General features: G+C 62.4%; 1 protein-coding gene, 1 long non-coding RNA gene and 3 other non-coding genes across 9 annotated transcripts in view, besides 2 other annotated features; all 5 read right to left on the bottom strand.

Moving 5' to 3' along the window:
* Positions 1–8,893: 8,893 nt before the first annotated feature.
* Positions 8,894–24,902, bottom strand: part of LOC124905135 (collagen alpha-1(III) chain-like) — a 69,285-nt gene continuing 53,276 nt past the window's right edge. For 3 of the 4 annotated variants that reach the window (XM_047441696.1, XM_047441695.1, XM_047441694.1), the window contains exon 2: positions 8,894–24,896. In XM_047441696.1, the coding sequence (XP_047297652.1) occupies positions 18,233–19,342 (1,110 nt within the window). In that variant the 5' untranslated portion in view covers positions 19,343–24,896 and the 3' untranslated portion in view covers positions 8,894–18,232. The remainder of the gene's footprint in view (positions 24,897–24,902) is intronic. The other variant, XM_047441697.1, reaches the window with a different exon arrangement.
* Positions 8,894–24,902, bottom strand: part of MIRLET7BHG (MIRLET7B host gene) — a 27,932-nt gene continuing 11,923 nt past the window's right edge. Inside the window, exons 2-6 of one of the 2 annotated variants that reach the window (NR_027033.2) lie at positions 24,812–24,896; positions 24,264–24,328; positions 19,573–19,630; positions 13,469–13,555; positions 8,894–13,151 (exon numbers count right to left, since the gene is read on the bottom strand). This is a non-coding gene — a long non-coding RNA (MIRLET7B host gene). The remainder of the gene's footprint in view (positions 13,152–13,468; positions 13,556–19,572; positions 19,631–24,263; positions 24,329–24,811; positions 24,897–24,902) is intronic. The other variant, NR_110479.1, reaches the window with a different exon arrangement.
* Positions 9,054–9,136, bottom strand: MIRLET7B (microRNA let-7b). Its single transcript, NR_029479.1, has one exon. It is a non-coding gene; the product is annotated as a microRNA let-7b (primary transcript).
* On the bottom strand, positions 9,165–9,256 carry MIR4763 (microRNA 4763). The gene has a single exon (NR_039920.1). It is a non-coding gene; the product is annotated as a microRNA 4763 (primary transcript).
* Positions 10,000–10,073, bottom strand: MIRLET7A3 (microRNA let-7a-3). The gene has a single exon (NR_029478.1). It is a non-coding gene; the product is annotated as a microRNA let-7a-3 (primary transcript).
* Positions 11,512–12,045: an enhancer, noted in NCBI's record as "H3K4me1 hESC enhancer chr22:46506657-46507190 (GRCh37/hg19 assembly coordinates)". NCBI's record gives its function as "activates a minimal SCP1, AML or CMV promoter by ChIP-STARR-seq in naive H9 embryonic stem cells {active_cell/tissue: H9 hESC(naive)}" and the evidence as "EXISTENCE:reporter gene assay evidence [ECO:0000049][PMID:30033119]".
* Positions 17,651–18,165: an enhancer, noted in NCBI's record as "H3K27ac-H3K4me1 hESC enhancer chr22:46500537-46501051 (GRCh37/hg19 assembly coordinates)". NCBI's record gives its function as "activates a minimal SCP1, AML or CMV promoter by ChIP-STARR-seq in primed H9 embryonic stem cells {active_cell/tissue: H9 hESC(primed)}" and the evidence as "EXISTENCE:reporter gene assay evidence [ECO:0000049][PMID:30033119]".

Genomic DNA, 24,902 nt, shown 5'->3' with positions numbered 1-24,902 from the left:
CGGAGATGCCCCCCTGCGATGGTGGCCAGGCCGGTGCTGGAAACACTGCGCACCCACCCCACCACCTCTGTGCTCTTGACCCGAGGGCCGCTCAGCCTCGGGCCGGTGTGGGGACGGCCAGGCCTCCCGGACACTGATTCTTCAGCGGGGCGGTGTCCACGCGGCCGCCCCTTCCCAGCCCCACGTGCTTCATTGGGCACCAGGCGCCACCTGGTGGTCAAGCCAGAAGCCGCCGCTACCAGAACCGTGTGGAAAGCATCCCCAGACCCTCAATGTCCTCCTGTAAGCTTGGGGAAACTGAGGCCAGGGAGGGGTAGGAGCTCCCCAGGTCCCTCAGATAGGCAGGGCCTGGAGTAGGGGCAGAGGTCAGGGCTCCTGACGCCTGTCCAGCGCCTGCAGCTGGGCTTAAGTGACTTAGGAGATGTGGGGGCCTGGCCATGCAAGGACGGAGGACTGAGCCCAGCGCCTGAGGTTCGGTGCACCTGCCCTGGCCACGCCAAGGCCTGGGAGCCATGAGCACTGGCAAGTCCCGCCTGCTTCCCCAGCATGGGTCCCAGGGCCCATGTTCGGCAGCATCTTTGTAGGAGACAGTGGCCTCACTCTTGATAGCAAGGAAATGAGACCAGGTCTGGGGTTCACACCTAGGAGCCAGGCCCTGCCCAGGCCCAAGGCCCAGCTCGCTGGGGAAAGGGGGACCCCACAATGGCCCAGAGCTTTGCCTAGAGCGGCAGCACCAACGACCACGTGTCAGCGCCTGTCCTCGGAGCTCCCAGCCCTGAGCCAGCCTCATGGAGCAGCTCAGAGCACTGCCCAGCTCTAAGTCCTGTCCCAGGCCTGGCTGCTGTTCCCTCTGCTGCTCCTGAGCCCGCTGAGTCCCATGGGGGTAGATTGTGAGGTGTGCTCTCTGACTCTGAGGGCCCCAGGCGAGACAGTAAGAAAGCCAGGCCTCTCTTTGGAAGCCCCTAGGGCAGGGTGGGCAGGGAGGGTGGGGGTACTGGCAGCTACTGAGTCTGGTGTCGCAGGGTGGGTCTAGGTGGCTCCCCTGGCAGCAAAGGCCTGGCCTCCAGCCCTCAAGGTCAGTCCCTGGGGCACCTCACAAATGACAGGTCCTAAACCTCGCCTGCTCAGACCTCTCCCCAGCCTGGCTCCTCTGTCCCAGTGGCCATCCACCCACCCACCTAGAGAGACCTGGGCCTCCCTGCCACCCCTGCCTCTGCCCCAGCTGGTCCCCAGGTCCCAGCAATGTCACCCTTCAATAGCTTCTCAAACCTGACACCTCCAACACTCCCTGGTCATTACTGTCATCTGAGCACATCCTTTGGCCTGAGCCCTGGCAGCCACCCTCTCAGAGCTCTATACCCCCACAAACACCTCTCCCTTCATGGTGGCCAATGCAGGGTTGCCAGGCCGGGCTGCACCCCTGTGTTGGCTCCTGCACTGTGGGACAGCCACTGGTCTGACGTAAAAAGCCAGAGCTGGTACAGTCAGGCTAGCCTGGGAAACTGTGGGTAAACCAAGTCACACGGACCTGTTTCCTCCCTGCAGGCCTTGTCAGAGCCTTCAATAGGCTCACCACAGCGTGACTCCAAGAGGGCATCGTGAGCAGCAACTGTGGATCATCTGTCCAGGAAACGTGCCATCCAAGAGCATTTCCCAGGCCCTTGAGAGAGACAGCCAGCCAGCTACCTCCTCAGCCTGGGTCCCCAGGGTCCCCTGGGGGCTTCCCCCCACTGCTGGCCTGCCCTGCAGCCCCCTCTGCCACTTTCCCCATGGTGCTAGGCTCCACCCTATTCAACTTGACTGAGTCCTCACTCTAACCTGTTTGTTCATTCAGTGGGCATTTTTTTTTTGAGATGGCATCTCTCTCTGTTGCCAGGCTGGATGGAGTGCAGTGGCATGATCTCACCTCACTGCAACCTCCACATCCCGGGCTCATGTGATTCTCTTGCCTCAGCCTCCTGAGTAGCTGGGATTATAGGCGCCCGCCACCAAGCCCGGTTAATTTTTGTATTTTTAGTAGAGACGGGGTTTCACTATGTTGGCCAGGCTGGTCTTGAACTCCTGACCTCAGGTGATCCGCCCGCCTTGACCTCCCAAAGTGCTGGGATTACAGGTGTGAGCCACTGTGCCTGGCCTCAGTGGGCACTGATTGACCATCTATTGTGTGCTGGGTGCTGGACTAGGTGCTGAGAAGACACGCTTGCTGGAGCTCACAGCCTAGTGAACGGGGCACATGGGGCAGGGCTCACACAGGCAGACACAGAATGTACCAGGGAGGGCGGAGGAAGGGGAAGCGGCCTTGGCAGGCGAGACCTGACACATGACCGGCCCTGGGTGTCCACCTGCGGGCATCTGCATCAGCTCTGGGACTGTGAGGGTCAGGACAAATCAAAACCCCCTTCATAATCACGTCTGAGCACAGACCACAGCATGAACACCATCCAAGCCACAGAATGTCCAGCCTCTCCTGGCCCAGGCAGCAGGGGGACTGCAGCCACGTCAGCAATCGCAGCTCCAGCCTCGCTCTGGGCTCCCTGCCCTGGAGACAGGGCTTGTGAAGATCGCTGATCGGAGGACGATCCTGCGTCCTGAGAGCATCCAACCCAGAGCCCCGCCTCCTCAGACTCCTCCCCATCCCGCAGCACAGCCCCAAACACCCCATCACAGACACCCCCGGATCCCCAGATCCCACAGCGTGCATTCTCCCTCGTGGCAAAGGACACTGGGCCGCCTGCGTTGCCACAGGAACTCACTCCTCCGTGGGCTGAGGGCATTGGCAGCTGATGGAGAAGATCAAAGTGGGTGAGGGGAGCGGCTGGTCTCCTCCCTCACTGCCACCCACTGCCCCCTGCCTCCGCCTGCTGATGGCCTGGGGTCAGGCGCAGCCCTGTGTGTCTAGGGGAGGAGGCCAGACTGCGGGGTGCTGAGCAGGCTGGGTCTTGTCTCATCTCAGGACGTTGGTCTGCTTGGCCTGCCCTGGCTGGCATTTGCAGGGCACTTGCCTGCTGCCCCCTGGACCTCGTGGTACCCATGAGAGCCAGGTCTCCTTGTCTTCAGCCTGGATAAGGACACAGAGAGGGTAAGGGCCTCGCCCTGGGCCATGGGATTGGTTCACGGCTGGCTGCCACCTTTCTGCTGGGTGGTTTCTGCAGCCTGTGTTCCTTCTGCCACCCCGAGGCCCCTCTGTCATGTATTAGGGCTGCAGGGGGCAATCACTCGAGGGCTGGGCTTCCTGCTGTTAGCTGGCCTCTCCGGTGCCCGCACTCAGCCTGCCCCTGGCTGGGCACTGGAGGGTGCCTCCCCCCGGAGGTGACCCCAGGCCATATGAGCTCTACTGCTGGGCCTGCGGGGTGCTACCCAAAGCCTCAACTCCTCTGGCCTGGCAGGGGCGGTGGACAACCTGGCTGGGCCCTTCCTGGACTCCTGGGCTCACCATGACCTCTGTGGACACAGCTTGGCCTTCTTCACTCGGGGACCAGCCATCCCTCCCCACCCGGCACCCCGAATGCTCTGACAGGCTCTGTTAACTCCTTCCTTGACCCTGGAATGCACCTCCCGTGAGTCTGCCCAGGTGAACCCCTCCCACACTCACCCCAGGCCTAGCACCAGCCACAACTCTTCCCCTGCCCTCCCCTGCTGCCTCCCCTCCCCCTTTCTTCCTTCCTCTGGAGGCCACCCCTCCCCTGCTGCCTCCCTGGGTTTCCCCCTTCTCTTCCCTTGCTGTCCCCCAGCATCTGCCTTCAAATCCTTCCCCACCACACCCAGACCCCCCAGGCCAGCTGCTCCATAGGATATGACAACTGTATTACTTATTTATTTATTTGTTGAGACAGGGTCTCACTCTTGTCACCCAGGCTGGAGTGCAGTGGCACGATCTGGGCTCACTGCAGTCTTGACCTCCCAAGGCTCAGGTGATCCTCCCACTTCAGCCTCTCGAGTAGCTGGGACCACAGGCGTGAGCCACCAAACTCAGTTAATTTTTGTATTTTTTTGTAGAGATGGGATTTTGCCATGTTGTCCAGGCTGGTCTTGAACTCCTGGGCTCAAGCGCTGTGCCTGCCTCAGCCTCCCAGAGTGCTGGGATTACAGGTGGGAGCCACAGCGCCTGCCTGGATATGGTATCTTTACTCGGGGCCAGGACTTGTGTGGGGCTGACCCAGGAAATGGGCAGAAGCCCTGGAGGCTGAGCGGGAGGAAGGAGGGTGGATGGGCTTGGCGAGAGAGGCTGTTGGGTCTGTGATGTAGAGGGAAGGGGAGAGGGGTAGAAGAGGGGAGAGAAGAGGGGAGGGACGGGGTGAGGCCTTCTTGAGGAAGGGCTGCTCTTCTCTGTTTTATTTCCGGGGACTGCAGGAGGGCCAGTATGTCTTGCTTGCCTGTCCAGGCAGTGCTGCCTGCCTGGGGCTTGGCTGGAGACAAAGCCTGGATGCCCAGGATTTGAGAGGGGTGAAAGTTGGCATCCGGGCCCACCAAGGACAGGCCCGCCATGTTTGAACCCAGGTCAAGTCTGAGGGGGGAGCGCATTCCTTCTGGGGAGGCCGGACAGCGGTGTGCAGGTGGCTGCTTTTCTCCTGCATGAGGACCTTCAGGGACAAGGCTGGAAGCGAGGTACCTGGCAGGGCCCTGGGCCTGGCCCAGTTCCTTGGCCCCAGGGAAGGGACCCCAGAACACAACCTGTTGTCCCCTATGCCACCATTACTCTCCCAACCCCAGGCAGCCTGGAAGGCAAGACAGCCACAGATCATGGGGTGGACAGAGCTGGCCGCCCATTCCAGCTGTACCCGGCCTGCTGTGTGGCCTTGGGAAAGTCACTCTACCTCTCTGAGCCTCTGTCTCCACATTCATGAAATGGGCTGAGGATGGCGGCCCTCTGGGGACTGTCAGGAAGCAGATCAGGCCCTGGATGTCACCAATGCAGCACCAGAGGGGCCGACACACCAGCATTTACAGCAACTGTCTGGGTCCTGCTCCCAGCCCTGGGGAAGCTGCTCCCAATCAGAGAAACCAAGCTACCCATATAGACTCACAGCAGCTCTCACACTGGGCAGCCCTGAAGGCTGTGGGAGCCTTGGAAGGGTGAGGGTGGTATAGGGCACTGGCTGGCATAAGTGTGGATGCTGAACTTGGGCCACCAGGCAGGACGCATGCAGGGAGGCCAACACAAGGCACCTGGCAGCACCACCTGCCCTCAGGCTCAGCAACAGCTGGGGCCGGGGTAGGAGCTGAGTCCCTTGAGCAAGCCAGACCTGAAAGCCTTCCCCTTCCTGGTCCACCTCAGCTCCCCAGTTGTCCGATATCTGAGATGTGCGACCTGGCTGGTGCCACCTCCCTTCTTGTTCTAGAAAGAGGCTGAACTCAGAATGGGACAGTGACCAGCCATGTTCACCCAGCTGGCACAGGGATGCCCCCAGGCCTCATCAGACCTGACCCCTCCGACCCTGCCTGTTTCAGGAGGCAACGTCAGAGGAGCCCATTTCACTAAATGCCACTGTGTGGGTATGAGTCTGTGCCAGGGGCTTAGCCCTAGGGCCTGACCTCCCTCCTTGGCATCTGAGGCCCTTCACTGGGGCTCCAGCCTCCCCCCAGGCTCTGGGGAGGCTCAGCTCAGGGCTCAAACATGGCAGGCCTGTCCTTGGTGGGCCCAGATGCCAACTTTCAGGCTCAGCCACTCCGCCCGCCTCCCATGTGTGGACCTTCACTGTGCCACCTCTTCTGCCTGGGGCCACCTGAACTCCCGGCCTTCAGATAACCCAGCTCCGGAGTCTTCCCAGGCTCAGGGTGGCCTCCCTTCCTGCTGGTGGCAGTGCCTGGAGACAGATGTGGCTCTCAACTCAGCGCTGTTGGGGACGGGGGTGCTCCCTCTGGCTCACCCCCAACAGTTTTGCCAGATGCCGTTGGGGGCAGTGATGCTGACAGCTCCTTGGTGGTGAGCGGGGCGTAGGTGGGCGGGAGGCTGCCAGGCATGTCGCTGGCTCGGGACGATGGCCGGCGGTCCCGGCACGTGGCTGTGATGGGTACAGAGGCCCCCACACCTCCCCCGCAAACACACACACGCCAGGAGAGCGGGAAGCGCCCTGGGGTCCCTCCCCAGGATTGTCCTCAAACCCGAGGCTTCCACAGCCCAGAAGGGGTCACCCTATTCACAGCTTTGGCCTCGGAGGTGGGGGGGGGGTGCAGGCGGGGCTGGCCTCGGAGGTGGGGGCTGCTGCCACACGGTGTCGCTGTCGGGAAATGCACAGTCCGAAGGCGGGGGTGGCTGGCGGGCAGTGGCCCAGGCTGCCCAGGCGGGGCGGATGGTGGGGGAAGCAGGGCAGGGTGAGGGATCGCAGGCATTGAAGGAGGCACTGACCTCCCGGGGCAGGGCTCTCTATGGCTTCCCTGGCAGGGCATGTGGCCCTCCTGGGCCCTTCCTCCACAATTCACAACAAAATCACAAACCGCACCCATGACTGGGGTGGTAAGACACCCAGAACCCAGGCTGGGTTCGCGCTATATTCACCCCATCATCTACACCAGTCTATAATATACTCATTATACATTATATATTCAGTATTGGAGGGGTCATTTTCCCTTCCCGTTTTAAAAGAAATGGAAACAAGACTCTTTCTGGGCTCTCACCTCTGTGCCCCGTGCTGATGTGTGACCCAAGAAAGGCCCCCCGGCCGAGATGCTCCGTGTCTGCCACCTTGCTGGCCTTGTCCTAGCCCTGGCCCTGGATGGCGGCCCTGTCCCTCGGTGCTCAGGCTGCCGGGTTCAAGTGGTGGGCTGGCTTTGCATCCCTCCTAGGAAGGCCAAGGTCAGCGGTGGCCTACTTGAACCTTAGGGCCCAGGGGTCTCTCAAAGGGCCCACTCTGGACAGCCCAGGAGCCCCCTCGAGTCTCTCTGAGCCCTCATCTCCTCGGAGGACAGGGCCACGCCGACCTTTCTTCTGTAGGGTAAGGCTGTGCTCTGGCGGTACTGCCTGAGCTGGGAGGGGTCCGTGGCACGTGGCTCCCGCACAGCCCGGGAAGCTGGGGCCATCCTGAAGGTCCTTGGTCCCCGGCTTTCCTCCCTGGACTTTGTTCTCAAGGCAACTCATCCACATCCCTGGGCACTCTGATCTGGTATCAGCTTAAATCCTCATGGGCGCCCTGGGAGGTGGAAGCTACGGTGACCCCACTGCGAGATGGGAAACAGGTTTGGTGAGCAGAGTGACCAATCTAGGCCTGTCACCCCCAGAACTTCCACAGGCTGCCCTCATCCTATATTTTGGGCGAGTTTTGGCAACCCCATCTCTAGGGACGGCCAGTCAGCAGGGAAGGTTTTGGTCAGCTGGAGGGTAGGGAGGGAAGTGGGGTGAGCCAGGCATCACCTCCTCCAGGAAGCTGCCTCTGACTGCAGGGCTGGGTCCAGGGATCCTTAGGGTTCCCCAGCCCTTGGGCTGCTCCACTGTGATGTTGACCCCAACACATGGCCACTGTGTGTCCCTGGCAGCTCCCCGACCAGGCCTTGAGCTCTGCAGGGCCAAACCCTGCTCCAACTACACAGTATGGGGGCTGGGAGGAGAGGCTGGCTCCTCGGGACGTTCACAGTCTGTTCAGACACAGACAGGGGCTGCGGTGGCCAGAGATGGGTCTGAGCCGTGGACTGAGGGGTGGGGGAGCGGTGGTGAGCAGGAGAGTCCTGGTGGAGGTGAGCACAGGCATGAGGGAGGGGTGCTGGGAGGCAGTGCAGGCAAGGGTGTCAGCAGAGATCTGCTCCGGAGACAGAGGGGGCTGCTCTGAGACTCTGAGGCCTGGCAGTGGGAGTGGGGAGGGATGGAAATGGTGTTTAGAGGACAGAAGTGGCCAGATGTGGCTGCTGACTAATTATGGGGTGAAGAAGGGGATTTGGACAGTGCCCATGTGTCACCCACTCTGGCCCCAGAGGATGATGGGAGAAGGGACCATGGGGCACGTCACTCATCTCCAGCTGCAAACTCCTACGCAGCTGTCAAGACCCAGCTCAGATGGTCCCTGCTTTAGGAAGCCCTCCCTGCCCTTGGGCCCCTCCTCCACGTCCCTTTGCCCTTGGCCCACAGGGTGGCAGCAGCTCCGGGAGGGTAGGCAGGCCTGGGCTCTGAGGTGTTTGCCGTGCAGGACTGGCACAGATGGGTGTCAGGGTAGGGGTGCCGGTCTGCCCAGACGTGGCCATGCAGGGCTGGGGTTGCCTGCAGAACCAAGGCAGGCCAGGAGGGCACAGGGGGGAATCTGGGCCAAGATTGTGGCCTGGGTCAACAGGAGGGGCGAGGATGGGCACTTGGGTGGGGGAGGTGTGGGCCCAGCTGTATCAGCCCCTCCCCACCAGGGGCTCTCGGTGCTGGGCCAGGCATGAACAAGCCCACCCCACATGCCCAGGGCGGGATCACTGGGCCCAGCCTACGGCAGCTGCTAGACGAGGGCCTGAGGCCTCCCAGGAGAATGGGTGCACTTTTGGGATGGCAGTCTGTCAGAGGAATTACGGGTGCCCTGGAAACTGTCCTGAGGGAGGACGGAAGGACAGGCACGTCCAGACTTTGGTCAAGGCACTTAAGGCACGGAGGTGGCCTCAGGAGCCAGGACTTGGCAGTGCTCTGAGCTGCTGACCTGGGGCCTTGGTGGCTGCCCCGTGGGGACCTCTCCACCGGGCCTGGGTCCCGGTGTTCAGCCCGCCTGGCTCAAAGGCAGCACGAGAGGGCAGAGAACGGGCTGGGCCTGGGATCCTGAGCCCAGGGTACAGCACGGAGCCAACTGAGGACTCTGGAGGCACCGGGAGGCGTGAGCAGACAAGTCTCATGACCTGGAACAGCTCGTGGCCAGGGGCCTCCACACTGTCCCGCAGCAGACGCGCCCCAGAGCCCAGTCCCTGGGCTTCCAGAATGAAAGGGGCCAGTTCCAAGTTCATGGTCAGAACAGCTTTATTGAATCTAGCTCCCAGATGCCCACCCAGCTTCGGCTCAGGCCCCCTGCAGGTCACTGAGGTGGGGGGCAGCCCTCCCGTGGGGTCGTGTCACTGAGGTAGGGGGCGGCCCTCCCATGGGGTCGTGTCACTGGGCTCCTCAGGGAAGGCAGTAGGTTGTATAGTTATCTTCCGAGGGGCAACATCACTGCCCTGAAACCACACAACCTACTACCTCACCCCGCCAGGCCCGGCCTTGCACTGCGGGAGGGCCCGCCGCCCCCCGCCCAGCACCAGCCCCTGCCTGGCGGTCCTCAGTCACCAGAGCAGGAGGGCTGGGCAGGCGCAGGGCAGGAGGGACAGGGGAGATGGCACCCCAGGAAGGGGCAGCTGCTGCTGGCTGGTCTTGGGAAGTCCCTGGCTCTCTGGGCCTCAGTTTCCCCAGGTACAGAGGAGCCACTGTCTGCCTTCAGATTGTGCCATGTGGGACCCAGTGTATGCAGAGCTGTTCCTCTCACTTCCTGCTCAGGAAAGGTGCCTTGGCCTCCCTTCCTCCACAGGCAGAGGCCCTGCCACTGAGCTGGCCAGGCTGGGGCACGTGCTGGGAACCTGGGGTGATGGGCAACGCCAATACTCGCAGCCCTGTGACCTCCAAACGTCTCGGCCACCCCTGGCCCCACGGTGCCTTCTCCTGGTGCTCAGTGGAGGGTACGGCTCAGGGCCACCCATGAGCCTGGGCCTGATGGCGGGGGGAGTGTTGGGGAGTGTTGGGAGACAGAGGTCAGACAAACAGCTGCGTGGATCGCCTCTCTCAGTGCGGCTGGGGCAGAGGGTGGGGTCGGCTCAGCTCTCCTCTGCCCTCGATGCTCCACACTGCATCTCCTTCCATCCTCATTTGCCTCCATTTTACAGAGGAGGAAACTGAGACCCAGAGAGATCAGGGGCCTGTCCAAGGTCACACAGCAAGTGGCACCTAGGCCTGTCAGACTTCTCAGTGTAGGCGGCCCCTGCCCCCGACTGCTGCCAAGGCTGCCCCCAAACCTGGCCCTGCCCGCTCCCAGCCAGGGTTCCAGACGCTCTGTCCACCGCAGATATTACAGCCACTTCAGGAAAGACAGTAGATTGTATAGTTATCCCATAGCAGGGCAGAGCCCCAAACTATACAACCTACTACCTCACCCCAAAGGGCAGTCGGTCTTGGTGCCGATGGGACTCCGTGGCTTCCAGAGGCACCTCCTGGGGACGCGGGAGGAAAGAGGGCTGAGGAGAACAGGGGCTCGAGGCTCGGCAGGCCACACGCACCAAGGGCACAGGGATTCTGGCGGGCAGGCGCGGTGGGCGCAGGGGGCTGGGACGCCGAAACCCTGGGAGTGGGGACATTGTGGCCAGCACCAGCAGGGACGGGAGCCTGCAGGAAACCACCAACCAGAGAGGGACGAGGAAGAGAGAAAGGAGGAGGGAGGGAAAGCCCTGGCGGCATTTTGCGACGCTGTCACAGGCAGCCGGCTCCCTCTCATCTGGACAGGAGTGGCCATAATGTCCCCAAGGAACTCTGCACTGGAGACCCTAGGAGGAGGGCTGTCATCTGTCGAAGGCCAGCAAGACACAGGCATGCGAGTGCCCACCCTGCTCGGCCCCCTCCCTCCCCGCACAGCGCCACCAGAAGCAGCACTCGTGGCCCCCAGGCTGGCTGAGTAGCGGCTTCACGGGCGTGCCGTCTCCTCCCACTGGGCAGGCAGGCATCCCTCCCCAGGGGCCCTGGTTCTGGCCCTGCTGTGCAGGCTGGCCTGAGCTGACCGCACTGCAGGAGGTGGCGGGAAGGTTCTTTCCTTCCTTGAGGGAAGTGGCCTCTAGGGGAGAGCAGCTGGGGGGGTAGTCACAGACCCTCAGGTCCACCCAGGGTCCAGTGCCTGTCCCTGCGGGTGCTGGCACACTCAGTGCCCTAGCTTGGGACGCACAGGGCTGGGACAGAGTGTAGCATGAGGATGACACTGAGAGGGCCTCGGGGCTCCCCTAGCAGGGGAACGTGGCGAGAGACGGGCCTCCCTAAGCCCCGCCTATCCTGGGCCTGGTGCAGGGTCAGCCTCAACAAATGCTAATTGTGGCTACCACCTTCCTGGGGAAAAGCTGAGGGGGCAGATACGACTGTCAACCCCTCTTAAACAGGTGAGGAGACCGAGGCCCAGAGAGGCAACGTGACCTGGATGTCACACAGCCAAGGGGGCAGCAGAGTGAGGTCCAAATGTCCTGCTCCCTGCCAAGCTTTTTTTTTTTTTTTTTTTTTTTTTTTTGAGATGGAGTCTCACTCTGTCCCCCAGGCTGGAGTGCAGTGGCGCGATCTCGGCTCACTGCAAGCTCCGCCTCCTGGGTTCACGCCATTCTCCTGCCTCAGCCTCCCGAGTAGCTGGGACTACAGGCGCCCGCCACTACGCCCGGCTGATTTTTTGTATTTTTAGTAGACAGGGGGTTTCACCGTGTTAGCCAGGATGGTGTTGATCTCCTGACCTCGTGATCCGCCCGCCTCAGCCTCCCAAAGTGCTGGGATTACAGGCATGAGCCACTGCGCCCGGCCTGCTTCCTGCCAAGTTAAACGGCATGCTAGCTCTCAGCTCCCCATGCCCAAGTGGACTTGAAAGGTCTACCCCAGCCCTCCTTCCACAGCCCATCCTGAGCAGGCTGCCTACTCCAGGCAGGCCCCAGGCTGGGCTGGACCATTTAATCCTCACAGCCCTGGTAAGGCTGAGATCACGGATCCCACTTCATAGTGGAGAAACTGAGGCTCAGGGGGTGCTGAATCTCTAGCTCTAGGTGTCTTTGCTCTCAGAAGTTGGTCGGGGAGGGGGTCTGCTTGCTCTCTGGGCACGTGTCCTACTCCCTCCCGAGGGGCACTGGAGCAAATCCCAGGTCCTTAGCCAGCAAGGAGACCGCTGAGGCTCACACCTGGTGCCGCCCACCCAGAACTGGAGACTGAGATGCTGACTCACCCAGGAGTGGGGACCAGGAGGGCCCCGATGCAGCCCGACCCTCCTCTGTCCCAGCATCATCTCGCCTGGGGTCGCGAAGACCCCGTGTTCCCTCAAGGCCTCAGAACAAAAGCGGTATGAGAGGGTCTGGGGGTCCTGCTCCCCTGCTCCAATTCTGGGTCCCCTGGCTGGTGGGCAGGACCAAGATGTCCCTAAGGACTGTCCGGGCAGAGCCAGCCAGGGTGGGGTGAGGGCTGAAGGGACAGTGGCTGAGGGTCTCCTTGGACCCTCCCAGCTGTGGTGAGTGGCCGGAGGGGGAAGATCAAGGCCATCCCAGCTCCTCTGAGCTGAGGCTGACTCAGGCTGTCGCACACCTCATGATCAGCTCCCAGTCAGGTGGTCCACCCTGAGTGTCCCTGCGTCTGCCCCCATCTGCACCCCCGGGAGGTGCCTTGGGGGAGGCTGTGGGGTGGGTTGCACCCTAAGCACGCACTCTGGGCTCCTGACTTAATCTCTGAGACCCCCACCCCCTCAGGCTGGACTGGCCACCTGGGCTGGCTGGGTCCCCTCACACCTACTGGGTTCTGACTCATGGTCCCAGCAGGCTAAAAAGGGGGTGGGGCAGGACAGCCCAGTGGGCGGAGCTGTGAGAATCCAGGCCGGCCTCTGGGCTATGCTCTGGGCAGGTCTCATGCCCTCGTGAGCCGTGGTCTCCCCACTGAGGCAAGGGGTCAGCTGCCAGGGCCCCCGTCATCAGCCATCGGAGCTGGAGTGCAGGTGGGGACCACCATACTGATTCCAATGGCCCCAGCCTGGCCCCCACAGGTCCCCCAGGCCAGGACTTCAGCCTCCTAGAGCCTACAGTGCTCACCATGGGGGGACCCAGCCCACAGGTCGGGCTCTATAACGTGTGGCAGAGACAGAATGGGAGACAGGCCCCTAGTCCACCCTGGTCGTCACCACAAGTGCCCTCCCCCTGGGCCCCCAGCCCCACCTGGGAGAAGCAGATGTGACTCAGTTTCCCTCATTCGGCCTTTCTCGTTCTGGGCTAGACTTACCCAGGTGGCATCTTGAGTCATCCTGGGCGATGGCAGGTGGCCTCGGGGCATGAGGGCTGCACTCCAGGATGCCCGGTGGCTAGGTGACAGGAGAGGCCAGCGCAGGAGCTTCTGTCCCCAGGGAGTGCTCGAGGCAGGCTGGGCCCTGCAGACAGGCGGTGCACACAACAGAGCCCAGGGCCAGAGAGTGAGTCTTCAGGGTGTGGAGGTGAGGCTGAGCCTCTTCCACTCAGACGCCCTGCAATGAACCACGGCTCCTTCAGGCCCTGTCCAGCCTGAGGGGTGCACCACCAGGGTCAAAGATCACCATGCCCCAAGTGCACAGTGGGCAGATGAGGTGGGCCAACGGGGGGAGCTTGCTGGAAGAGTGGCGGGAAGACAAGAAGAGACATGGCTTCAGGGGAGGCCACAGCCTGGGCGAAGGTTTGGCTGTGAGACCATCAAGTCCCCACCTAAGGACCTCTGTGCCTGAGGGTGGGGCCTGGAGAGGACCGGGAGTGGCCTGGCTCTGAGATAGCCCTCCCTCCCTATCAGACCTCCCACGGCTCCTCCTACCTCCAGAGCCAGGATGGCAGGAGGCCCAGCTCACTGTGAGGAAGGCCAGCCCCAGGCAGGGGCTCCAGGTCAGCGCCACTTCTTGACCTGTTGGGTTTTAAAAACAAAAGTGACAAGTGTCAGCTCTGGAAGAGACGTGGCCTTACCCAGCTCTGAACCCCTTTGTGACCTTGGGCCTTGCCCAGCCGTCCCGCACCAGAACCGACACTCCAGCCTGGCCCGTCTCTCGCCTAGTGGCTCACCCACCCCTGTAAGGGCCTGGATGGAATGTGGAATGGCCTCCGTGGCCAGCCCTGTGTTGGACAATGCCAGGTCAGAGGGGACCAAGACCCAAGCCTGTCCTTGAGTGGTCAGTGGTCATGTCCCCCTGCTGGGAAGCCTGTGCCCTGCCAGGCTGGTGCCTGGATGCTCTAGGGCCCAGAGGAGGGCAGCAGGATGCACAGGGGGGACAGCCTGGTGCTGCTTTCCCGGGTGCCTGGCCTGTCAGCAGGTGGCTGGACTATGGAGGGAGGGGTTAAGCCCCCATTGCACCGAGGAGGATGCTGAGGGTCCAGGGGGGCTGTGGCTTCCCCTGGGACCCAGGACGAGGAAGGCTTGGGGTTCTCCCACGAGCGGAAACCCCCGGGAGGGGCCCACAGCATCCAGTCTGGGGCTGCAGGGCTTCGGCAAGGTCTTGTCCAGTGAATGAAAACTTCACCTCACGCCAGCCCATTCTGGCAGGAGTGCCCTTGCAGGGTGCGCACGGGGTGCAAAGGCCAGGGAGGTGCATCCAGGCAGGAAGGGATGTGGGTCCCCGGGGCTGAGCCCAAGACGCTGGATGGGAGCAGACATACCGTGGTTCCCTGCAGCCCTGTACCGTGTGACCTCGAGCAAGAGCAGCCCTGCTGGGGACCGGGAGAGTCACCCACCAGGCTATTGAGGGGCCTGTGGGGACACTGGGTGGGGGGTGCCCTTCCCTCCTCCTCCCTGAGCACCAGCCCTGCCCACGCTCCCAGCCAGCTAGGCCGTCTACCACTGTTGACACCCTCTCTACTGTCTCTGCCCCTCCCCAGCATGCCCGCAGCCCGGGCTCCCCCTCCAGCCTCCCAGAGCAGCAAGTGTCCCGGGCAGGCCTCTGCTCCCAGCATTGCCCTGGCCTGTCCCTCTGCCAGGCACAACCACCCTGCTTTTTCCTGCTCCTTTCCCCTGAGGGCCCTGTGTTCCCTGGTGAGTCCCAGCTCTGCCCGCAAGGCTCTAGGACTCGCATCTGGACCACCCAGGCCTGCAGTGGTCAGGGAGCCTGAATGTGGCAGTGCCCGCTCCGGGGGACTCTGAGGAGGGTGTATGGACACATTTCCTGCACACCCAACCCTGCTGTGCTCCACAGGACCAGGACACAGATGCTGTGACCTCAGCGGGCTCCACCCCCACCGCAGGAGGATCTGCACGCAATCAGGAGAACTCCAGCCGACAACCAGGGCTTTCTGGGGTGTGGGGTGGGGAAAGACTGATGTTTCAGCTTCGTGACCCACTCATGGAGCCATTTCTGAGCTGGTGGGGAGAAGGCCAGTTGCACGTGTTGTGGGGTGTGTGCGGGGGTGATCTCCAGGCCCACCTACCTGGCAGCCCTGGGGGTGAGCATGGGGCTCAGGCCTGGGGAGACAGCAGGAATCTCCCCTTTCTCAGGAGGCTTCCTGAGACAGACCAGAGAAACCCTTCGCAGCCAGCCTGGATGAGGGCTGGGAGGGCCATGCAGCGTAAACGGTGCTCCTTGAGCAGAGCTGACGGGGAGTGAGCAGTCGGCAGGCGCTCTGCCATCTGCCAGCTGCCACCTCCCGGGCGCTGCCCCGGCCCCACGGTGTCTGCCCGTGGGCAGGGTGCCCGGCAGGCCCAGGCGGGGGAGGGGCCGGGCCAGCCAGGACAGGTGTGCGGAGGCCTCGGTGGGCAGGTGGCCATTTCAGGGCCGGGCGGATGTCTGGAGCAAGTGAGGCAGACAGACGGTGTCACCCCGAAGTCACCTCGGGCTTGGCTCAGGGCCACTGGGAGCCGGACCCCCCCAAGGAGCACACCCCCGCCACCCTGATTGGGTTTCTCCCCATAAAGCGGCCAGTGTCTCTGCTCAGCAAGCCGTGCCAACAATGGATCTGGGAAAAAGACAGGGAGGGGTGGCGTCCGGGGGCTAGGACGGGAGGCGGGCCTCCTGCAAACACGGCCCAGAAAGCTAACGAGACACACACGGGGCAGCCTGCGGCTCTGGCTCGGCCGCAGCAGGGCAGGGACCAGGGCGAGGTGTGGGAAGCATGTTAAAAGGACCAAAAACCCAGCCATCAGCAGAAATATCTGATTGCAAAATTAAAAAAGAAAATCAATGCAGAAACGTCCATGATCTAAAAATATCAAACTTAAATCAAGATGGGACGGGTAAGGGTTACTGACCTCTCCTCTGGCCTCAGGCTGCAATACAGCTAGGCCGCCCACAGTCTCACGGTCCCCAACAGCATGCCATGGGGACGCCGCGGCAAAGCCACAACTGGAACTGCACTCCTCAGATCCAGGCTCCTCCCCCGGCCCTGCACACTGCACGCAGGTGGGAAGGGGGTGCCCCCAGGATGGAGCGTGGCCCGGACCCCAGGGCTGCCTTCCTTCCAGGGCTGCCTTCCTTCCAGGGCTGTCTGGGGTCCCAAGGTCCCCTCACTGGCCCTCCTGTTAGCACCCTCCCTGTCTGGCTTCCCCAAAACTGACACCCACGTGCTCCGGGTCAGGGTCTCCACCGTCGGGGGTCTGTGCCCTGTCTAGCTTCCTGCTTTCCTGTTCTCTCATAGCCACTAAGTTCTCAGTGGGGGTGGGGGGCAGGCTCAGGGAATGTCCACTCCCTGGGGCAGGGGCCAGGCCTGCTGTGGCCACATGTCCTGCACCTAGAACAGGGCCAGAGGTCCAGCAGACACCAACATTGTGGCCACAGGTGTCAGCGTGGAAGCTCACAAGAGTAACGCAGCACCCGAGACACCTGAGGGCTGGCACTGGCAGGGGAGGACCCTGCTCTGCAGACACACCTGCGTCCATGGGGCACAGCCCTGGGGGCTGCCAGGCTTGGTTCTGACCTGCTCTGTCTCCCTCAGTGATGGGCCTGGGATGGGGTAGGTTAACCCCTCTGGGCCTCAGCTGCCTCCTCCGTATGATGGGTCAGGACGCCAGCCCCCAGGGCTGTGGGGAGAATCCGGGGAAGCTGCTCTTTAATGCTCCCGGGTTACGCAAACAGGCTTGCTTGGAGTCCAAAGGGGAAAAGCAGGAATGCGGAGCCCGCTCTTCTCCTGTGGGGATCTCTGTCTGGTGTTTAATCATTAGGCATACTTTTAACCTCAAAGGCGTGTACTTATCTGAAAACATTCTTAATTCAAGCCACAGTCTGGGTCACAAGGTGGGGAGGGCAGGAAAGAATCGGGGGTGGCAGGGGGCGGTGACCAGATGCAACTACATCATTAAAAATACCCCAGCCTGAACCCCGCCCTGTGGTCACCCCACCCAGCAGCAACTCCCCACCAGAGACCAGCCCTTCTGCGGTGGGGGGCTTTTCCTGCCGGGAAGCCTGGGGCTCCCGTGTGCCCCAGGAGGATGCGGGCCTGGCCTGGCATGTGGGGCGACTCTGGTCTGGGCGGGCAGGCGGGCAGCATTCCTCCTTCCCATGCCCGGCTGGGTTTTCCCAGGGTGAAGGCAGGGCCTGGGCAAACTTCGTTTCGTGGTGACGGAATGTTCTGTCCAGGAACCACAGGGAGAGGAGTCTGGGCGGGGTGTAGGGTGGCATCCAGAGACCTTCCCAGGCCTCAAGGGTTTGGCTGGGTGCCCGGCAGGTGTCTGGGGAAGGGTCTCCTCCAGCGAGGAACTGACCCACGGCCACGTGGCGAACACAGGCCACCGTGGGGTCCACCCGGCACCACCCCATGCTGCCCAGAGGACCTGCGTCGACCCCTAGAAAAAGCACACACTCATCAAACGCCATTCTCTGCTTCACGTGGTGATTTCTCCTGCCTTCTTCTAGGAGGCACACTGCCCTCCAGGGGATCTTGTTGCAAGGATAGCAGGAACCGATGTGTGGCCAACCCCACAGGGCTCCCACAGGGCTCCCACAGGGTCCACCTGCCCCCTCCCCGCCTGGCCAGGGGCACAATTGTCCTCCACGGCCAACACCCAGCATCTCCCTGATGCTGCTCTGCAGCCACCCTGGCCCCTGGGGGTTCCTGGAGACCGTCCCTTCGGAAATGTGCCACTTGGGATCCTCTGGCTACTGGAAGGGCAGGTGCATGGGCCTGTGACGGGGCAGGAAGCAAGCTCAGAGGCTCAGGAGAGGCCGAGGGGCTCTGGTGGGGAGGGAGATGCTGTCTGGAATGGCTGAGGTTGCGGGGATGGGGCCTGCAGGAGAGTGGGGGCTGTGGAGGGGCCCAGGAGGGAACAGGTCCTCCACTCCTGTGTGTCAGAGACTTTGGCTGGCCCCAACACAGGGAAATCCTGGCCAGAGTGCGGCCCTGCCCTCTTCCTGAGGATGGCGGTGCCCCTCTCTAAGCCAGAAGTTGGGCCGGCCACTGAGAGACCCACTCCCGGCCGGGCCAGGCCAGGAGCGCGATAGGTGCAGCCGTCAAGGCCTGAAGGCGTCACCCCTGCAGAGGTGCCGGGAGCCCAGGTGGGCCCCACACCCGCCTGAGCTGCCCTCGGCCCAGGGCTCCCCCGCCAGCGAGGCTGTACTGGCCCGGCCCTGGCTCAAGGCTTCTCCGTCTGCTCAGCAGGGCTGCCTCAGGGTGGCGAGGGGCCGGCAGGGCTGGGTGAGGGGCCAGGACTCCCGGGCTGCCTTGCCAAAGGCTGGCTGGTGCCAAGCCTGGGGCAGCCACGGCCAAGGCCAGACTGGGCGGGGGCCGGCGCTGGGCTCTGTCCAGGCCGCCAAGGGCAGGCAGGCAGGCCATGGCCGCCCTCCCTCCCAGGCCTCTCCAAGGCCACGGCCACCTCAGCCACAAAATGGCGGCAGGCCGGGCGGCCATTTTGCAGAGCGCTTGGAAGACAAAGGCCGCCGCGGGTGGGAGTGGTGATGGGGCCGGGAGGAGCAGGAGCCACCGGAAAAGCAGCACAGTGCCCGCCCCGCGCACGGCCCCAGAGACAGGCAGGTGGGCCCTTCTTCTGCCTAGGCTCCCAGCAGCCGGGGCTTCTAGAGGCCTTGTCGTCCCGTCTAAGGGTCTTGCAGTGGCCCCGGGGGACTGGGGGCTGCCTGGGGCACTGATGCCCTCCCATGTTGCAGCCCAGGTGGCCTAGCCTGAGGCATGACCTCTGGGGGAGGTGGCAAGGGCCTACTGAGCCTGGGCTTCCGGATTCAAAACCTTCTTTTGCCCCCAGACCCGGGGAGGGCCGCCCCTCATTTGCCTGAGGTTGGAGTGGTCCCCAGACAGGCGGCTCGAGGGCCTGGCCTGAACTCCGGGGACCACTGTGCCATGAAGTGGCTGCCACGGGAACGCTGGGGAACCTGCTCCAGGGATCGGAGGCTGCTCCCCGCTCCACCTTCCACGGCACCCCCCCAACAGCGTGGAACTTTCGGGGCCCTGCCGACAAGGGTCGGGGGTGGGGCCCACTCGGCCCCTCCTGGAGCCCTGCCCCAGCCAAGCTCAGCACCAGCCACTTCCCAAACAAGCCCCGAGCCCCGTCCTGCTTATCTGCCTGGTGACCGTCTGTCCACTCCCCTCTTGTGTCCCCTTCTCCGGCCTCCTCTGGACAAAAGGCACGGGCCCCATTGCCCCCAACAAACACTCGCTGGATGCAGAGTAGAGCCTGGCAGGCAGCACCTCCAGATCCAACAGATGGGCGGCCCCAGGGTGCCACAGGGACGCCTTCCTGCCCCCGCCCAGCAGTGGTCTCCATGTGTCTTCACCAGATCTTATTGGGAACCCAAAGGTCCAGCAGCGAGGCTGCTCTTGGGCTGGGGGTGCAGCCACATGGCACTCCCTCCCGACCTGCACAGAGCAGAAGCCTGTGATCGTCACCAACCCCACTGCACAGACTGGGAGGCCAAGGCCCAGGGCGGCCGAGCTGTGGCTGGCAGAGGGGTGTTTGTGGGGCCGCCGGGTCAGGGGAAGATGGTACTCACACACCTGAGGACTCAGCCCAGGCCTCTGATGGGGACCGCCGATCCAGAGCCACGGGCAGGGCCTTCATCAAAAAACAAGAATGAAATTAGGGAAAAGCCTGCACAGTGTTCATGGGGTGGGGGCTGCCTGGGTGACACAGGGCAGCATCAAGGGCAGGTGCCACTGTCCCCATCACCGTGTCACCAGTTGCCCTGACGACTCTCTGGGTGTGAACGGCACAGCCACCTCGCCTGTTCCCGGGGCCTCTCCCACGTGGCTGCTCCACGGTGGGGCTAGACCAGCTGCACACCGCAGGCTCCTGGGCACATGCTCCCAGCTGGGGACCTGGCCGGTGTGAATGCTTTGCCACTGTGACACACCCACCAAAGCCCCTCACACCTGGTGACTCACTCAGTCCTCGTGACAACCTGATCAAACGCAGGAATGGAGCGGCTCTTCCTTCCCCCACAGCCACAGCCAGCGCAGGAGCAACTGTGCTCCCCATGTTTCAGGGATGAGGGAACGGGGACCCAAAGAGGTTTACCTGCCGGCGCACGGGCACTAGGAGGTCCTTCTGTGTTGGGTGAGCCCAGGAAGCCCCCATCAGGAGGCCCGTTTTCCTTTTTCAGGGACAGCCAAGGGCCTCTGACTCCCCAGTTCTCGAGGCCAGCCCAGCTGGGTGGGTGAGGTGTTTTTGGAGAAGGGCACGTCGTACCCGGGACAGCTGGAGCAGCGACACGAGGCTGCGGGATGAACTGGGAGCCTGCTCCTTCCCAGAGCTGGACATGGCAGTGCTTTCAGCTCACTACTGTGTGGGGAGCAAGGCCCCCAGCCTGGGCCATGCCTGAGGCCAGGTGCCCAACCAACCAGGCCAGGGAGGGAAGCCAGAGCTGAGGAGGCAGCAGCCTTGGCCACTGCCAGGAGCACTGGGGCTGGGGGCCTGGCCCACCCCGGCACCATCCCGGCAAGGGTCTGAGTGGCAGGGCCTGAACCCACTGCACAGCCAGACTTCGGAAGGCTCGGCCCAGACCCCAGACCTTCCCCGCCCCTGAGGGATCTGGTGGCCCCACACCTTGGCGAGACAACGTTCATGGAACCCAGAGGTGTTTCTACTGCGGGGCAGCTTGGGGCCAGGGCCCTGCTCTGCTGTATGCCAGCCTGGTGGCCAGGGCAAGCCCCGTGGGCTCTGGGAGCCTCAGGGGAGGGGCACTCAGCAGGGCCATCAGGAAGAGGGATGACTCCATGTGACTGGCTCAGGGCTTGGCCCACAGGAACTCCTAACAAATCTGAACCGAATCAAGAAGGTGTTTCACCCAGGTGAAACCTGCAACAGCAGGTGGCTGTCCTTGCACCCTGTCCCATCCCTCATCACGGTGAGGGCTCAACTTCATGCTCACTAAAGTTTCTCCCAGACAGAGAGTGCTGCTCAAAGCCAACAGGGAGGTGCCGCGTGAGGGCCATCACTCTGCATTTTGTCCATAAAGACAGCCCCGACTTACCAGGATCCAACTTAAGATTTCTCAACCCAAAGGGATATGAATTCAGTAGAAACCAACCACACTTCAGTACAGTGTTGAATAAATAACAGGAGATCTTCAACACTTTATCATGAATAGGCTTTGTGTTAGATGATTTTGCCCAACTAGAGGCTAACATAAGTGTTCTGAGCACGTTTCAGGGAGGCTGAGCTGAGATATGATGTTTGGTAGTTAGGTGTATTAAATGCTTTTTTGACTTACAATATTTTCAATTTACAGTGGGTTTCTCAGGACAAACCCCACTGCAAGTCAGGAAGCATCTGCATTTTCAGCAGGACTGAAAGATCAAATGCAGGGCCATTGTAAGGGCTTGCTTGCTTCTGTCTGGGTATAAAAAGGCATCAGGCTGGGCGCAGTGGCTCACACCTGTAATCCCAGCACTTTAGGCCAAGGCGGGCAGACCAGCTGAGGTCAGGAGCTCAAGACCAGCCTGGCCAACATGGTGAAACTCCGTCTCTACTAGAAATACAAAAATTAGCCTGGTGTGAGGCAGGCACCTGTAATCTCAGCTACTCTGGAGGCTGAGGCAGGAGAATCACTTGAACCCGGGAGGCAGAGGTTGCAGTGAGCCGAGATCGCACCACTGCACTCCAGCCTGGGAGACAGAGTGAGACTCCCGTCTCCAAAAAAATAGAAAATAAAAACATTAAAAAAAATTTAAAAAGGCGTCTGGGTATTTGACATGAGAACAAACCTCTGTCCCCTCGACCTGCATGTGGAGGCCACCTGGGGCCGCTGCTGATGCCCTTCAACCTCTCGGGAGAAGAAAAAGTGCCACTCCACCATCTGCAGAGGCTGCTGAGGTCACACTGTGGTCCCCCGGGGCCCATTCTCAGGCTGTGGATGCCAGGTCCATTAGGCAGTCTTGGAGCTGGCCGATGTGGCTTCTCAGCATGGTTCTGCCATGGGGTGCCAAGCCATCACCCGTCTCACGTCTGGGTTTCCCATGCACCCACATCTGCACCCACTCCTGAAGGACAGGGCGGCCTCTCCATCAGCCAGAACCCAGGGTACCCAGAACAGGAACGAGTCCCTTCAGAAAACCAGCCAGTGCCGGGTATCAAGGGGGCCACGCGGCCGCCGGCTCTGGTTGGGGCTGTGGCTCCTGTTATTGCCACCAAGTGTGGGTGAGGCACGGGGCTAATGCCATGGTGTGGCCAGCAGGATGCCACCTCCTGAGCGTGAGGCCCATGAGAGGTGGGCAAGGCCGAGGGACCTGCCCGGCTGAGGCTTCCCCATCCTGGGCCAAGGCCTCCAAGGGGAGCAGTTTTGAGTCAGCTAAAAAACAAACGCTGCTGAAGGAGTCCCGGTCCCCATGGACCTTCAATGGCTCCCCCAGTCCAAGCCAGCACCCCAGAGGCCCTCCACAGCCCCAGCAGCCCCCAAGGCTGCAGGCCAGAGTAGGGCCAGGCTCCTGATCCCCAGTCTCCGTCTCTGCAAGAACAGTGTGGGACGGTGGCCCTGCCTTGCTGGTGGTCCTAACGGAGGGTGTGTGACCCCTGTGGTGATTACGCCAGCATCTGGCATCTGACGAGCACTGAGTAAGCACCTTCTGTGTGCGACCAGCCTCATCTTCCACGGATCATGCATATTGGGGTGCTGGTCCCAGCCCTGGACTGTCCACTCCCCTGCAGGCCTCTTCTCCTCCACTCCAGGCCCTTTCCCACACATCCTGAGCCTCAGCAGCTGCACACGGTGCCCCCTGCCCATGATCCAGGGGACACACCCTTGCAGCCTCCCTGGACATGTCAGTCCAGGCTTGGGAGTCAGAGACTCAGGGAGGGGCACATTCCATGCTCAGTCCTGTGTGAGGGACACGCCTGTGGGGTCTGTTTCATTTGGACCCTAGAGACCAACACTGCTGCCTGTGGGATGTCAGAGGGATTACATTAGGTGGTGGCCAGCTGTGTATACAGGGAGGGCTGGGTACAGGTGGGATGAGGTCCCACGGGCAGGCCTGGGCTTATGGTGGGTGCCAGGAAAACCCCAGTTCCGTTGACCAGATCGCCTTGGCCAAGACCCACTAGGTCCCTGTCAGATGCCTGGGGTTAGCTGCTCCCCCAGGCTGGTATCCCTGTGACAGCCCCACAGTTCCAAGGGCTGCCCTGCCCTGTCCTGCCTTGTGTCTCCTCTTCCCCAGTCCCTGCCCCTCTCCTGTCCCCACGCTGTTCTCCTTCCTCTGTTACCCTTCATCCCCTTTCTCTTCTGTCCTGCCCCTCCTCCCTGATTCCCCCAGGGGCCTCCCCCTACTCCCCACCTGTGTCCCTCCCCACTCTCCGCTCGGCTGGTGGCTCAGCCCTGCGTGCAGACACAAAGGCCCCGGGGCAGCGTCTGCAGAGTCTGGCGGGCAAGGCCGACCTGTAAACACGCCGGGCCCCAGATGGCAGAGGGGTCCGGGCCAGACACCGGCTGCTCTGCTCACATGCAGCAGCCTGGGGTCCTCTCCGCACAGCCTCGGGAGGTGGGCCCGCCCCTGGCCATGGCAACGGTGGGGAGGGGAGAATGCCAGTCCTGCCCAACCCACATGGCCGCACGGATGCCCCAGGAGGCAAGAATCATCGGCGACAGTCTGCACTCGGGGGCTGGCTCGCCAGGGCGAGGGGCCTCAGGCTGGCCGCAGCCTCTGAGCAGTTCCCAGCATGACAAGCCCGCCCCCGGCCATGGCCACCAGACAGCCATGACAGACAGCAGCAGGCAGGGGACATCTTACCTGCTGAGCCCCCAGCAGGTACTGCAAATTGCCCTGTAGTCACTGGTCCCCTAGGCTGCCCCTGGCCTCCCCTCCCAGGGCCCTTGAGACAGCTGGATCCTTGCAAACAGGAGTGTCACCCAACTCAGGCAGAAGGGAGCCCAAAAAACAGGGCCAGACCTGGACCAAACCCAGCTGCTTGGAGCCCTGGTCCCTCAGTTGCAGAAAGAAAGAGGCTGGTGGCCGCAGAAAGAGGCTGGTAGGGGCAAGGAGCAGGAGGCCGGGCTAGATCCAGCTGAGCCCGTGCCAATGGGCAGCAAGCACCTGCCTGGCTCCTTGGCCCCCAGAGCTCTGGGGCTGGTGCATATACACGTGTGTGCTGTGTGTGTGTGTGTGTCCAGTTTCAGGCACGCCCGGCAGAGGGTGGAGCCAGAAGGGAGGGATGTGGGGAGCCCCAATTTTCATCAACATTCACAAACTGTACTGACCTGAGGGTGGACACAGTCCCTTGAGCTTCAGGCATCACCTGGGGAGGTGGCCAAGGGTGGAAGACCTGGAAGGAAAGAGAAACGCTGAGGAAGTCTTATGGTGGAACCCCCGGGTGTGTGGGGTGCTCTTCCCTCATCTGTTCCCTGTCAGCTCTCACCCTGCCTGCCCTGAGACCGCCATGAGACCTGGGCCCAGCTCAGGGGCTGCCCGAAGCCTTGGGTGCCCCCAGGCCACCTGGATGGTGAGGAGGCTGGGTGCGGGGCATCCCTGTCCCACTGGGCAGGGCGGCAGGTAGTGGTCACACAGTAGGCCAGGGACCCTTTGCTCTACTCCCTCACTTCTGGGCCTGGAGTGGGGTCTCTTCTACCTGTCAGGGTCAGGCTGAGCCCCTCGAGGACTCTGGGCAGGGCAGACCTGGCTGCAAGGTGGGGCCTGGGGCTGGGTTGGTGCTGGGGTTTCCCCTTCTCTGCCAAACCATCCATCTCCAGGCTGCTTGTGACTGGAGTGAGTCCTTCCCTGCCCAGGCGGGGAGTAAAGACGCAGCTACCTGGGCCGTTAGGTCCCGGAGGATCTTCCCTAGCCCACGATGGGCTCCTGATGTCTCGGGTGGTGCTCTGGGACGGGGCCACATTCTGCAA

This window comes from Homo sapiens, chromosome 22, assembly GCF_000001405.40.
Source record: "Homo sapiens chromosome 22, GRCh38.p14 Primary Assembly".
Taxonomy (NCBI): Eukaryota; Metazoa; Chordata; class Mammalia; order Primates; family Hominidae; genus Homo; species Homo sapiens.
The sequence above is the reverse complement of the archived record's forward strand: the minus strand, read 5'-3'. Positions and strand labels throughout refer to the sequence as shown.